At 37.4% G+C, this 13,335-nt stretch overlaps 2 protein-coding genes and 1 long non-coding RNA gene across 7 annotated transcripts in view, besides 4 other annotated features; 1 reads left to right on the plus strand and 2 right to left on the minus strand.

The window, feature by feature from the left end:
• Positions 1-1,742, minus strand: part of LOC101929976 (uncharacterized) — a 48,061-nt gene extending 46,319 nt beyond the window's left edge. Inside the window, exon 1 of the long non-coding RNA XR_427200.3 lies at positions 1,293-1,742. This is a non-coding gene — a long non-coding RNA (uncharacterized LOC101929976). The remainder of the gene's footprint in view (positions 1-1,292) is intronic.
• The window catches only part of PDE1A (phosphodiesterase 1A), a 576,757-nt gene extending 572,828 nt beyond the window's left edge, over positions 1-3,929 (minus strand). Inside the window, exon 1 of the mRNA XM_047444688.1 lies at positions 3,823-3,929. Within this exon, the coding sequence (XP_047300644.1) occupies positions 3,823-3,896 (74 nt within the window). The 5' untranslated portion in view covers positions 3,897-3,929. The remainder of the gene's footprint in view (positions 1-3,822) is intronic.
• Positions 2,872-3,021: an enhancer, noted in NCBI's record as "active region_16836". NCBI's record gives its function as "activates an Ori minimal core promoter by ATAC-STARR-seq in GM12878 lymphoblastoid cells {active_cell/tissue: GM12878}" and the evidence as "EXISTENCE:reporter gene assay evidence [ECO:0000049][PMID:35858748]".
• Positions 3,042-3,111: an enhancer, noted in NCBI's record as "active region_16837". NCBI's record gives its function as "activates an Ori minimal core promoter by ATAC-STARR-seq in GM12878 lymphoblastoid cells {active_cell/tissue: GM12878}" and the evidence as "EXISTENCE:reporter gene assay evidence [ECO:0000049][PMID:35858748]".
• The window catches only part of DNAJC10 (DnaJ heat shock protein family (Hsp40) member C10), a 78,208-nt gene continuing 68,261 nt past the window's right edge, over positions 3,389-13,335 (plus strand). For all 5 annotated transcript variants that reach the window (NR_073366.2, NR_073365.2, NR_073367.2 and 2 more), the window contains exons 1-5: positions 3,389-3,615; positions 4,148-4,204; positions 5,073-5,422; positions 7,139-7,301; positions 9,157-9,207. Coding sequence is in view for 2 of the 5 variants with exons in the window: in NM_018981.4 (NP_061854.1) it covers positions 5,219-5,422; positions 7,139-7,301; positions 9,157-9,207 (418 nt within the window). In the remaining 3 variants the exon portion in view is untranslated. The remainder of the gene's footprint in view (positions 3,616-4,147; positions 4,205-5,072; positions 5,423-7,138; positions 7,302-9,156; positions 9,208-13,335) is intronic.
• Positions 3,456-4,060: an enhancer, noted in NCBI's record as "H3K27ac hESC enhancer chr2:183581051-183581655 (GRCh37/hg19 assembly coordinates)". NCBI's record gives its function as "activates a minimal SCP1, AML or CMV promoter by ChIP-STARR-seq in primed H9 embryonic stem cells {active_cell/tissue: H9 hESC(primed)}" and the evidence as "EXISTENCE:reporter gene assay evidence [ECO:0000049][PMID:30033119]".
• Positions 3,622-3,781: a silencer, noted in NCBI's record as "silent region_12161". NCBI's record gives its function as "represses an Ori minimal core promoter by ATAC-STARR-seq in GM12878 lymphoblastoid cells {active_cell/tissue: GM12878}" and the evidence as "EXISTENCE:reporter gene assay evidence [ECO:0000049][PMID:35858748]".

A 13,335-nucleotide genomic window follows, 5' to 3' on the forward strand; every position in this document is an offset into this window, starting at 1 on the left:
TTAAATAATTCAATACTGTAATGACATTCCGTTGTTTAAACACTTCTGTGGCTTCCCATTGCTCATAGGAAAAGGCCCAAACTCCTTAAAATAAACTACATCTTGTCCCTGTCTGCTTTTACATTCCCATTTTGTTGACTCTCTCCTTTTGGCTTGCTACATTCTGGTGATCTTTTTGTTCCTTTAACACCCATGCTCTTTTGAAGTACAAGAACTATGCACTTGCTGTTCAATCTGACTATAATATTGCCTAATTTTTTGCCCATATATGTTAAATTTCTTCCTTTTTATTTTTATTTTTGGTGAAACCTTTGGCAAATCTTTGCCCCTAGAGTAGCTCACAACATCACAACACTATGTATTCTTCCTTCATAATTACAGATTTGTTTGAATAATTGATGTGTCCTCTATTATCCTACTTACTGAGGGCAGAGCTATGTCCTTGCTCACCACAGTAACCCTAATGACCTAGCCCAGAGAACAGTAGACTACTTTAATTAATAAATTAAATGTGCACTTTGGGAGGCTGAGGTGGGCAGATCACCTGAGGTCAGGAGTTCGAGACCAGCCTGACCAATATGATGAAACCTCGTCTCTACTAAAAATACAAAAATTATTTAGGTGTGGTGGCATGTGCCTGTAATCCCCACTACTTGGGAGGCTGAGACAGGAGAATTGCTTGAACCTGGGAAGCAGAGATTGCAATGAGCCAAGATCGCACCATTGCACTCCAGCCTGGACAATAAGAACAAAACTCCATCTCAAAAAATACTAAATAAATAAATAAATGAACTGTGTAAGATTATCAATCCATCTGTGCTCTTGACTCCATCCCTCTCATATCTGTGGCCTCTTTCTTTTTTGGCTTCTACTCAGCTTATGAACTTGCTCAAGCCTTTCCAAGCCTAAAGCATTTCCTCTTTGGAATCCACATCCTCTTCTAGTTACATGAGTTTCCTTCCTCTTTTCACCCAAACTCTGAACAGAGTATATGTACTTGCTATTTCCATTTCCTCAGCTCCTAGCCAATCTTTAGTCTACTACAATCTAACTTCCAGCCTTACCATCCACCAAAATTGTGCTTACTAAGGTCCCTATAACCTCCTAATTGCCAGACCTAATTAACAAGTTGCAGTCAGTATCTTATCTGACTCACTCTAACTTCCTTGATGTTTAGTTCCTTTTGCCCATCTCTGATCATCTCTTTTTTACATCCTGTATGGGTTCTTCTTCTTCAGCCTATTTCTCAAATTAATGTTTATTCATTCAAAAAATATTTATGTAGTACCTACCATATAGTAAGAACAGCTGGAGCCATAACAGTAAATAAAATGAACAAAAATCCACCTTCATGAAGCTTAGATTCTTTTTCCGTGTGTGCTTTCATTCTTGATGTTAGAATTCCCCAAGGTTTTAATCCTTGGTCCACAACTTTACTTATTCTGCACACTTTCTTTGGGTGATCTGATGATTTTTCTCCTATTTTTTCTCCAATCTAGACATTACCCATGAGTTTTATGCAGGGTATATTCACTAAGATATGATCTAGGAACCTTGAACTAGATATGTCCAAGTCAGAACCCTTTATCTTTTCCCTAAACAGATCTTCATTCAGTGGGTAGTATTCAGCCATAAGAAGTCAGAAGTTAAACTTAAATCTTTCCTTTATCTCCCATATCCAACCAATCACCATCTCTTACTTTTTTTTTTCCCCCAAGACAGAGTCTTGCTCTGTACCCAGGCTGGTGTGCAGTGGTGTGATCTTGGCTCACTGCAACCTCTGTCTCCCGGGTTCAAGCGATTCTCTTGACTCCCGAGTAGCTGGGATTATAGGGGTGTGCCACCATGCCCGGCTTATTTTTGTATTTTTAGTAGAGATGGGATTTCACCACGTTGGCCAGGCTGGTCTCGACCTCTTGACCTCAAGTGATCCACCCGCCTCAGCCCCTCAAAGTTCTGCGATTACAAGCGTGAGCCACCACACCCGGCCCACCACCTCTTAAAGCATTTACCCTATTTGTCTAACATTCTCCTGTTCTTTCTCCAGTTTTGTATGCTTTGCATCCTCTCTCCAATAGCTGCCAGGATGATCTAAAATACAATCTCAGTCTCTTTTTTAAAAGCTTCCTCATCACCTAAGAGATAGAAATCTATGTCTTCATCTTGGTATAAAAACCTGTCTGTGATCTGGTCCCTGCTTCATCTTCCAGTTTTCTGTTTGTTTTTCAATTTACTTTAAGATTTTGTTACAGTGTGTAACAAAATGGTTACACACTGTGTCATAATGCTTAACATCATAGTCTCTGAAGCCAGGTTGCTTAGATGTGAATCCTAGCTCTCAAATATTTGCCTCAGTTTCCTCAAATGGGAAATAGATATAGGAGCCACTATCTTGTAAGATTATTTGGAGGACTAAATGAGTTACTACATGTGTGCTTAGACCAGTTCCTGAGACATATTAACTACTATTACATCAGGCTGCTTCTAATGTTTGCCTTTGTTCATTCTACTTCCTCTTCTTTCCTACCAAGTATTAGCTTAGCCATAGATCCTGTGTAGTTTTCCAAGTTTTTAGAAGCTGACACTTGATTTACTCCCCGAAACTGTTACCAATCACAACTTATTTCATGTTAGGGTTGATGTTATAAGCAGGTATCCTCTAGGCTCGGTTTTCTCTTTTAAATATAGAAAATGTAGTAAATATAACCACTTCAATTGTTATATTGCTGTGGGACAAAATGCAGTTCCTGTACCATAGCAGTAGGAGATCAAGGTAAGAGAGAACAACGATAACTCCCCAGTTTCTAGCTTGTATGACTCAGAATCCAGAAAATATTGTAGAAGTCTCAAATGCTTGTTGATACACACGCTTACACAAAATTGTAAATGTTTTAATTTCCTTCAAGTTTCCTACTGCCTCTTCAGTCCGCTAGCCTGATACTGCAATCAGTGTCGCTTCAGGCAACTTCTCCTTTCTCCGCCAAATTTCGCCTTTCGGTCTCACCCACCCATCACCCAGACAAATCCTCCAAAGCTCCGTCTTCCCTTTAAAAGACTCTCAGGGAACTCAACCCCAAAACCCACCCTCTGGGTTTCCCCGTCACCCTGGCAACGGAAGCAGGAAGAGGCGGGCTTCGCCATCCACCCTCCCCGCCCGCGGCAGGCGCCGGCCGCATTGGTGAGGGGGCGCGGGCTGCTTGGCCAGGGCAGTTCCCTCAGCTCCGGGTTGGAGCCGGAGCCGGAGCCGGATCCCGCGCACACCGCCACGTCAACCTAAACCTACACCGCCCTCTCCACCCCACCGCCGCAGCGCCCGCTGGGCCCGCAGCGGGTCTCCCCAGGCAGCGTCCTCCACGCCTTTCCCACAATGCTCCGCGCCAGGCCCCGCCCCGGCTCGCCGTGGAGACCGGCGCGTGAGGAACCTACCGGTACCGGCCGCGCGCTGGTAGTCGCCGGTGTGGCTGCACCTCACCAATCCCGTGCGCCGCGGCTGGGCCGTCGGAGAGTGCGTGTGCTTCTCTCCTGCACGCGGTGCTTGGGCTCGGCCAGGCGGGGTCCGCCGCCAGGGTTTGAGGATGGGGGAGTAGCTACAGGAAGCGACCCCGCGATGGCAAGGTGGGCATGGGCCCGGGGCTAGGGCTTTGCTGGAGCCGGTGGTGGCCTGGGCCCTCCGGTCAGGGAGGGGCGGAATGGCTGAGCGCCTGAACCTCCCTTCCTGTGCGCTCTTAAGACCTGGATATTGTGTTCTCGCTCCCCACCTTCCTCCTCCCTGTTATTCACACCACCCTTCCTCTGCCCAGCGATTCCCTCTCAGTTACTTACACTTTCTCCCTAAGTCCGACCTGAGACTTCAGACACCAGCAACACTTAACAGCCCTGTTCCCCCGTGTCTTCATCTTTACCCCTCTCCCCTCTCCCACTCTGCAGTGATGGCAATGCGAAAGCTTGCGCCTTGCATTTACCTGGCGCTTCCACCTGCCCGGTAGCTCGGGCCACGGGCAGTTCGGCCACACCCACGCTGAGAACAACCCCTGGGCGAGAAACATCTTATCCCAAAGTGTTGATTGAGACTATGCCCTCTCTTTTTCTGATGGTTGTTTTCTTGTTTGGATACTTGTTAATCTCTACATCATTATATTTTTCAAAGGTATATTTTTGTGGAATGAAAAGGAAGTATTAGAAATGAGCTGAAGACCATTCACAGGTAAAGAGAAAAATTTTTAAATATACATTTAGGATTAAATGAAAAACAGAAATGAGGTGCGAGGAGCGTTAGATTTTTCAAAGCATTACGATCTCTTTGGAACTAAAATATAGTGGTTGAAATGTGATATGATGAAGTAATGATTGTTTTTGCCCTGCAGAGAGTATGTCTAAATAACCGATTCCCTTCTCTTTTTGTGTTTTGTTTCTACTTACACCAAACATGAACTTTGCAATAAAATTACACTGGTAACTTACAATTGTTTTTCTACTATTTTTAAAAAATGGCCTCTACTTAAATTCAGTATAAGCACCTTCTGAGGAAACTCCGGGAAGAAGATCGACTGCTGTGTAGATTGTCTATTATAACAATATATTTCACTGTCATTTCTGGTAGGGTTATATGAGAAGTAAAAAACCCTATGTTTCCTTCTAGTCCCTCCCAAGGACATTTCCTACAAGTGAATTCTGCTGAAAATGAAAATTAGACAGCTTTAGGAGGTAAAGAAGTAGCTAAAAGGAAGAGGTATTACAGGCAACGCTATAACTGGGTAGAAAGAGGAAGCACCTGTAGCTCATTGCCACCTTTGTGTTCTGATGCTCGTCAGAGGTCTTTTCTCAGTGTATAAATTGCTGAGGGTGTGTGTGCAAGCTACTTACTACCACTCATGACCTTTTTTCTGCTATCTTCAGTGATTTCACAAATCTAGCTACATGGATGTAGAAAGAGTGAAAAATAGAACCTGGGGCATTCACACTGATTTGCCATTTAATGGAGATTGTATTGCTGACCATGTTCTGTGATAAATAAATTGTGCTATTATTGTTTAGTTCAAAATGTATTTTAACTGCCTGCTTTTCTTTCTTAGATTAATATTTTTGGGGACAGATTTGTGATGCTTGATTCACCCTTGAAGTAATGTAGACAGAAGTTCTCAAATTTGCATATTACATCAACTGGAACCAGCAGTGAATCTTAATGTTCACTTAAATCAGAACTTGCATAAGAAAGAGAATGGGAGTCTGGTTAAATAAAGATGACTATATCAGAGACTTGAAAAGGATCATTCTCTGTTTTCTGATAGTGTATATGGCCATTTTAGTGGGCACAGATCAGGATTTTTACAGTTTACTTGGAGTGTCCAAAACTGCAAGCAGTAGAGAAATAAGACAAGCTTTCAAGAAATTGGCATTGAAGTTACATCCTGATAAAAACCCGGTAGGTAAACGTTTGTTTTTAAAAATATTTGATTATATTTTTGGTACATTTTGATATTTATTTAAATTGCTTTAAATGATCAAATGCTTAAGAATAATCATATGTCAAAATTATAATTCAACTTGTATGCTAGAAACAAAAGCACCAAAATGTTCTGGATTATTTAGGATCCCGTGAAGGAATGTCAGTACCAAAAATTCAGTTCCCTCTTAATTTGTAGACGATTTTCCAACAATTCTATTAAAGACATTAACCCCAAAACAAACGATAATATCCGTGAAGTAGTTGAAGTAGTTTTCTTATTAAAGTAGGTTAAGATCAAGTGTTTTAGAACAGGAACAAAAATATTTTTTTAAAACTCAGAGGGTATGACTTGCTAAAAATAGAAGTAATAGCTAATAATAGCATGTTTTAACTTTGACTGTTTTCTTCTGTGTATGCACAAGTCCACAAACCAGAGTTAGAAAGTTTTATAAATTAATACTTCACAGCAGCTGAATATAATGCCAGTCATAAATATTTATGTACACATTAATGTAAATCTTTCAAAACTAAACTCATTTTAATTTTTATGGTGTTTTTGTAATTTATTTGATTATTTCTTAGTGAGATTTAGCGTTCATCATTAACAAGAAGACATAGTTATAATTTTCTCTTTTCTAGGTAGAAGTTTTAAAATAGGATTATTTTCATTGCATAAAGCTGAGCAAGAGAAACAATATTTCTTTAAATATTGTTTAGTTGATTATCTTTTCCTAAGATCCACATTCTATTTAAGGTTTTTATTTTTTTTTAATTTTTCTTTAAAATTTCAAATAATGATTTTTAAGTTTCCATATAAAAGACAGTAGACCTTCTACCATCCGAGTATTATTTAAATGAAAGCATCCTTCAGAAACAAATTTTATGAAGCACAGTAACAAGGAAGAAACATTTCCGATCCAATTTTGGATTGTTTTCTTTTTTTTTTTTTTTTTTTTTTTGAGATAGGGTCTCACTCTCTTGCCCAGACTGGAGTGCAGTGACGCCAGCGGCTTCCTGCAACTTCTGCATCACAGGCTTAAGCAATTCCCCTGCCTCACCCTCCTGAGTAGCTGGGATTACAGGCGTGCGTCACTACTGCCCAGCTAGTTTTTGTGTTTTTAGTAGAAACGGGGCTTCACCATGTTGGCCAGGCTGGTCTCGATCTCCTGACCTCAAATGATCCACCCTCCTCAGTCTCCCAAAGTACTGGGATCGATTTTGGGGTGTTTTCTGATACTGGCTTTTATGTAATTAGCTGATAGATTGGGGCACATCCTTTTTTAATTAAGTTGATTTTACCTCAAATAGAAAAATAACCTACAAATGTATTGATTTATAATTGTTATAGGAGTAAAAAATATTTATGAAATTAAGAGTTTCAACAGGCTTATTATTTTCAGCTGCATTTTTTAGGAAGAATAACTCATGGTCTGATAACGTCTGTCAACCTTTTGAAGAGTCAATTATTTCATTACTTTTCTTACTTTTTTTTTTTTTTTTTTGAAGATTATAGTTTCTTAAAAAATACTTCATTTCAACCCATGGTAACTCATGTCATGTTGTATTACCCCTCCTTATGTTGGTATATGGTCTCCCAGAAGTTACTAGATTAATTAAACCTACATATATGTTTTGAAGAAACTTGGATTGTGTATCTGAAATAATTGTATTATATCTAATATTTTTTAACAGAATAACCCAAATGCACATGGCGATTTTTTAAAAATAAATAGAGCATATGAAGTACTCAAAGATGAAGATCTACGGAAAAAGTATGACAAATATGGAGAAAAGGGACTTGAGGATAATCAAGGTGGCCAGTATGAAAGCTGGAACTATTATCGTTATGATTTTGGTAAGGTGATACGATATTACTTATGAAATGTGTTTTATCTGAGTAAAAGAAAAGTGAATTCTGTTTCACCACTTAGCTTATATATTTAAGATGCGTCACTTTGATTAGCTCCTTTTAATTTGCTGTGGGAGTGAAATTTAAAAGGAATGTCAGTTGGTATACAGAGATGATCTGTACAGATATGAAGTTGTATTGGTTAAATCTTGTTAAATACTTTTAAAATAAGGATTGCTATTTAATAAAAAATATGCATTCATGGACTGCATAATGACATTTCACTTAACAATGGATTGTATGTAGGACATTGGTCCCATGAAATTATAATACCATATTTTTACTGTACCTTTTCTATATTTAAATACAAAGATACTTAGCATTGTGTTACAGTTGCCTATGGTATTCAGCAGTAACATGCTGTACAGATTTGTAGACTAGGTGTGTAGTAAGCTATACTATCTAGGTTTGTGTAAGTACACTCTGTGATGTTTTTGCAACAACAAAATTCCCTAACAACACATTTCTCAGAATGTGTCCCATTAGTAAGTGATGTATGACTATATGTTTGCATTAGGGGTAGCTAAATATTTCTTTCAGTATTTTTTAGTATTGAATAATATTAATTTCTTTCAATATATTTTAGAGCATCATATTGTCCAAGAAAGGCGAAACTTCAAGTTTAGTAATGATCTCTTCAATAGAAATGCCGTCCTTCTCATATGGAACCCTTACTGATTTTTAAGGTGTTTTGGCCTTCGGTTGACATTAAGGTCAATACCTTGAAACATTATCAATAAAGGTTCCATATGAGAAGGACGAAAGGTGTTTTTTTTCTTAAACATGGAGGAAAAAATAAGGTGGAAGGAGGAAACAAAGTAAAGGAACTAAGGAAGAGAGATTGTAAACACACAGGTATCAAGGGAGGAAGGTGTGTTCAGAGACCCAGTGTTTCTCCTAGTCATTAATTAACCTCAAATGCAGGCTAAGAACTGAATATGCTTCTGTATTAGACTAAATGAAGTATTTTAAATTTATATCTGGAGGATTTGCTTTTAGTAAATATGATTTTTTTTCAAAATAGTATTTTCAAGTATATTCTCTACACCTTGATAGTCTATATCAAGAGTTAGCAGACTGCATTTCATAGGCCAAATCTGGCTTGCCATTTGCTTTTATAAATAAGTTTTATTGGAATGGAATTACTTTAATTTGTTTACATAATATATGTGACTTCTTTCACACTTCAAGAGCAGAGTTGAGAAGTTGTGATAGAAGCCATACATCCCACAAAGCCTAAAAAATGTATATTTACTAAATATTTGTGTCTGCCTCTGCAAATACTCTAAGCTTTTTAGCAGAAGATATTCTAACATGATACCATGTGTTAAAAACCATATAATCTGAAAATCAAATGAGGTCTGTAGTCTAGTTAACAGTGTACCACTCTCAATTTCCTGGTTTTCGATATTGTGCTATATAGCTACATAACATGTCACCATTAGAGGAAGGTGAGTAAAAAGTATACAAGAGTCTATATTTTTGCACCTTCCTGAATCTGTAATTATTTTTAAAACCATAATATAAATTTTATATGGAGGTAAAATTATGTGAATATTACGAACTACCGCATACACATCTATGAGAGTCCATATCAGAATTCTAATATCTTTAGATCACCCTAAATGTACTGATAGTATTATTTACTTTTTTTTCACTTAGGATGTTGCATATTCTCTAAGTTTGAGATATAATATAGTAGTTTGATTTTTTTGATGATTAAAACGAGTAATCTATTTTTATGTTGCAATTTATATGGTGAAGTTTTGATTTTATAATTTTTATATACTTTTAAAATTAGGTATTTATGATGATGATCCTGAAATCATAACATTGGAAAGAAGAGAATTTGGTAAGTTTGTGGGCTTAAGGTTTTATAAAACTAATACAAGTTCGATCTCATCTAAAACTCTAGGGGATATATATGTTTGAAATTTAGAAATCTTTTGGAGTTTCGAACAGTAATAATGTAATATACTGTATCTTAAATATTTCTAGCAGAATGTGGGGAAGTGTACCATAATAAAAACATTAATATTTATGTAGCAAAATGTGTAAGTATATATACTAAATAAAAGAAATTTAAAAATCAGTTCAGATCAGGTTTGGATGCCAAGTGAGCTTGCTGCAAACTTACAGCAAAACTTCTCAGAGCTTTTTGATTTTAGAGTTTTGGATAAAGGTATAGTTATTTTGGAAGTAGATTTAATTTGATTGGCAACTTTGTGTGAAAATGGCCATAAAAATACAGTTCTGCATTTTCCATTGCATTTTAGAAAATTGTATACCAGAATAGATTCTTATACTTTCATCCTTTGTACAGTAATAATAGGTTTATTTTTTCTATTTCAGAGCAATAAATTAAACTTCAAATCAAATTTCAATTTTATATTGCTCTATCACAATTGTATTTAATTTAGAAAACTAAAATACAGCCAGGCGCGGTGGCTCACACCTGTATAATCCCAGCACTTTGGGAGGCCAAGGCAGGCAGATCGCTTGAGATCAGGAGTTAGAAACCAGCCTGGCCAACATGGGGAAAACCCTCTCTACTAAAAATACAAAAATTAGGTGTGCCTGGTGGCACGCACCTGTAATCCCAGCTACTTGGGAGGCTGACGCACAAGAATCGCGTGAATCTGGGAGGCTGATATTGCAGTGAGCCATGATGGCACCACAAAAAAAAAGAAAACTAAAATAGCGTACCAGTCGCAAAAAATACATATAAATCTATATGTTTTTCATATATTATCGTTAAAAATTTATTACAGCTACTTGATTTTATACAGTTTGTTCCTTCTAAGCAAGGGTGGCTTTTTTTTTTTTTTTTTTTTGAGACGGAGTCTTGCTTTGTCACCCAGACCAGTGTGCAGTGGCACGATCTTGGCTCACTGCAACCTCTGCCCCCTGGGTTCAAGCGATTCTCCTGCCTCAGCCTTCTGAATAGCTGGGATTACAGGTGCCCGCTACCACACCCAGTTAATTTTTGTATTTGTATTTTTAGTAGAGACAGGATTTCACCATGTTGGCCAGGCTGATCTCGAACTCCTGACCTCAGGCGATCCACCCACGTTGGCCTCCCAAAGTGCCAGGATTACAGGCATGAGCCACCACATCTGGCCAAGGGTGGCATTTTAATCTTATTTTCTACATCATGCTGGTGAGCTTCACATACAAAATAGCTGTTCAATGTGTTACTTTGTTAAAAGCCTTCTAGGTGAACACTTGAACATGTTCTAAGTGAATAGAAAATACATCTTTCCTGTGTTCTGCAAATAAGACAATTTGATTCATTTGGATTGTTAATAGAATTAATGCTCATGTCACAAGCTGGTAGAATCATAACTCTCGTGTGAGTTATATAAACCTATAGCTGTTCCTGTGTGGTTTTTATTGTCTCTCATCTCCTAATATATCAGTAAGTGTTTTGTGTACCAATGGTTCAGAAAACATCGGAATTACAGATAGAGGAACTGAACAAAACTTGCAAGCTTACTAATCCATGAGTCTACCTAGAATGAGACTTCACTGATAGTTATATTGTATATGGGTTCACACTTTTTCAGATGTGTCACTATGCAGAAAAGCTTAAGAACTGTTAATAGTTCATATAGAACCCCAAATGGTAGTTCAAGATAAATTGCAGCCACAAAACTTCAGAGATAATTCATAAATAATTAACCTTGCTTGATGAGAGGAATGAGCAGGAGCATTGTTGTGATAGAGAAGGACCCTCTAGTGAAGCTTTCCCAGGCATTTTTCTGCTAAGCAGATGTTATCATTTCTGGCTCTCTAGAAAGTCAACAAGCAAATGCCTTCTAAGCTCTTCTATTATATGCAGCATAGGTTAAGTAGGTTTAATCAATTCTGACAGCTACTGTAAACTCTGAAAGAATAAAATAAGAGACCTACATAATACAGTAAGGATTGCGGGGATTAAATTTAATATAAGCCCTAAATAAGACATTACCTTGGAAAATCACTTTATTTGAAAAGATTGACTTTTTTTTAACAATTCAAAACATTAATACATACTTGCTAAAATTATAGATTTGAACATGTGATATCTAGCCAATAGTGCAGTTTATATTTTATCTGTAAAATGACCTGATGCAAATTACAAATTTTACTCACTTAAAAAATTTAACATTGTAAAAATGTGCTTTCACATTCAAGATAAAAAGGCGAGGGTAATCTGCTTTTGGTTAAAGGATTTCCATATGATTCCATGTTAAAATTAGTTAATATTTTAAAATAAAAATTTCAGAAATTACAGTAAGACATTAAAACATGCATGGTATTCTAAATACGTGCAACTAATTCAGGCTAATTAGAAACAGGTACAGGACTCAGTGTTCACCTACATTTCAAGTATAAGATAGACCTGTGGGGAAAAAGTTAATCTGTACCTTACAGGCAAAGTAATTACATTTTACTTTGCTAATAGAAGCTGTTAACTGGAGTTGTATGTATATTAACAGACAGTAGCTGTAGTTGTATAGTTTAGAAGTGGAAAGTTGCATTTTGAAATGTAATAATTCTATTCTGGGTCACTGTTAGGCACAACATCCCATTGAGCTGTGATGATACAGTATTTAAAATATTTTAACTTTATTCTTATTACTCAGCAATCAGTGGGAACTTGGCAAATATGAGAAGTGCTCGATGAAGACAAAGTACAGGTGTACCTCATTTTATTACACTTTGATTTATTGCACTTCATAGATAATGCACTTTTTTTTCCTTAACAAATTGAAGGTTTTTAGCAACCCTACATCAAGCGAGTCTATCAGCTGAACGTGTTTCCAATAGCATGTGCTCATTTCATGTCTCTTTCTCACATTTTGGTATCCAAACTTTTTCATTATTATTCTGTCTGTTACAGTGATCTACAGTCAGTGATCTTTGATGTTACTATTGTAATCATTTTGGAGTGTGCCCATAGGATGGCATACTTAATTTTTGTGTCTATTCTGACTGCTCCCTCTTCCTTCTCCCTTTTCTCTCCCACTTCTTGGGCCTCCCTACTCCCTGAGATACAACATTACTGAAATTAAGCCAATTAATAACTACAGTGACCTCTTAAGTGTTGAAGTGGAAGAGATGCACATCTCTCATTTTAAATCAGAAGCTAGAAATGATTAAGCTTAGTGAGGGAGGCATATCAAAACCCAAGACAGGCTAAAAGGTAGACCTCTTTTGCTAGTTAAATTATAAATGCAAAGGAAAAGTTCTTCATGGAAAGTAAACGTGCTACTCCAGTGAACACACTAATGATAACACAAAACAGCCATACTGCTAACATAGAGAATGTCTTAGTGGTCTGGGTAGATCAAATTATCTACAACATCCCCTTAGCGAAAGCCTAACCAGAGAAAGACCCTAATTCTTTTCAATTTTATGGAGGCTTAGAGAGATGAAGAAGCTGCAGAAAAAAGTTTGAAGCTAGAAAAGGTTGGTTCATGAGGTTTAAAGAAAACAGCCATCTCCATAACATCAAAATACAAGATGAAGCAGCAAGTCCCGACATAGAAGCTGCAGCAAGTTTTCCAGAAGATCTAGCTAAGATCATTGATGAAGGTGGCTATACTAAACAACAAATTCTCAATGTTAATGAGACAGCCTTCCATTGGAAGAAGATGCTATCTGGGACTTTTTTTTCATGCCTGCTAACACCATATCCATTCTGCAGCCCGTAAATCAAGGAGTAATTTCAACTTCAAGTCATATTATCTAAGAAATACATTTCATAAGGCTCTACCTGCCATAGGTAGTGATTCCTCTGATGGATCCAGGCAAAGTAAATTGGAAACCTTCTGGAAAGGAGTCACCATTCTAGTGTCATTAAGAACATCTGTGATTCATGGAAGGAGGTCAAAATATCAGTGTTACAGGAGTTGGGAAGAAGTTCATTCCAACCTTCATGGATGACTTTGAGGTGTTCAAGGCTTCAATGGAGGATGTAACTGTAGATGTGATA

Source organism: Homo sapiens, chromosome 2 (assembly GCF_000001405.40).
Source record: "Homo sapiens chromosome 2, GRCh38.p14 Primary Assembly".
In the NCBI taxonomy this organism is placed as follows: domain Eukaryota; kingdom Metazoa; phylum Chordata; class Mammalia; order Primates; family Hominidae; genus Homo; species Homo sapiens.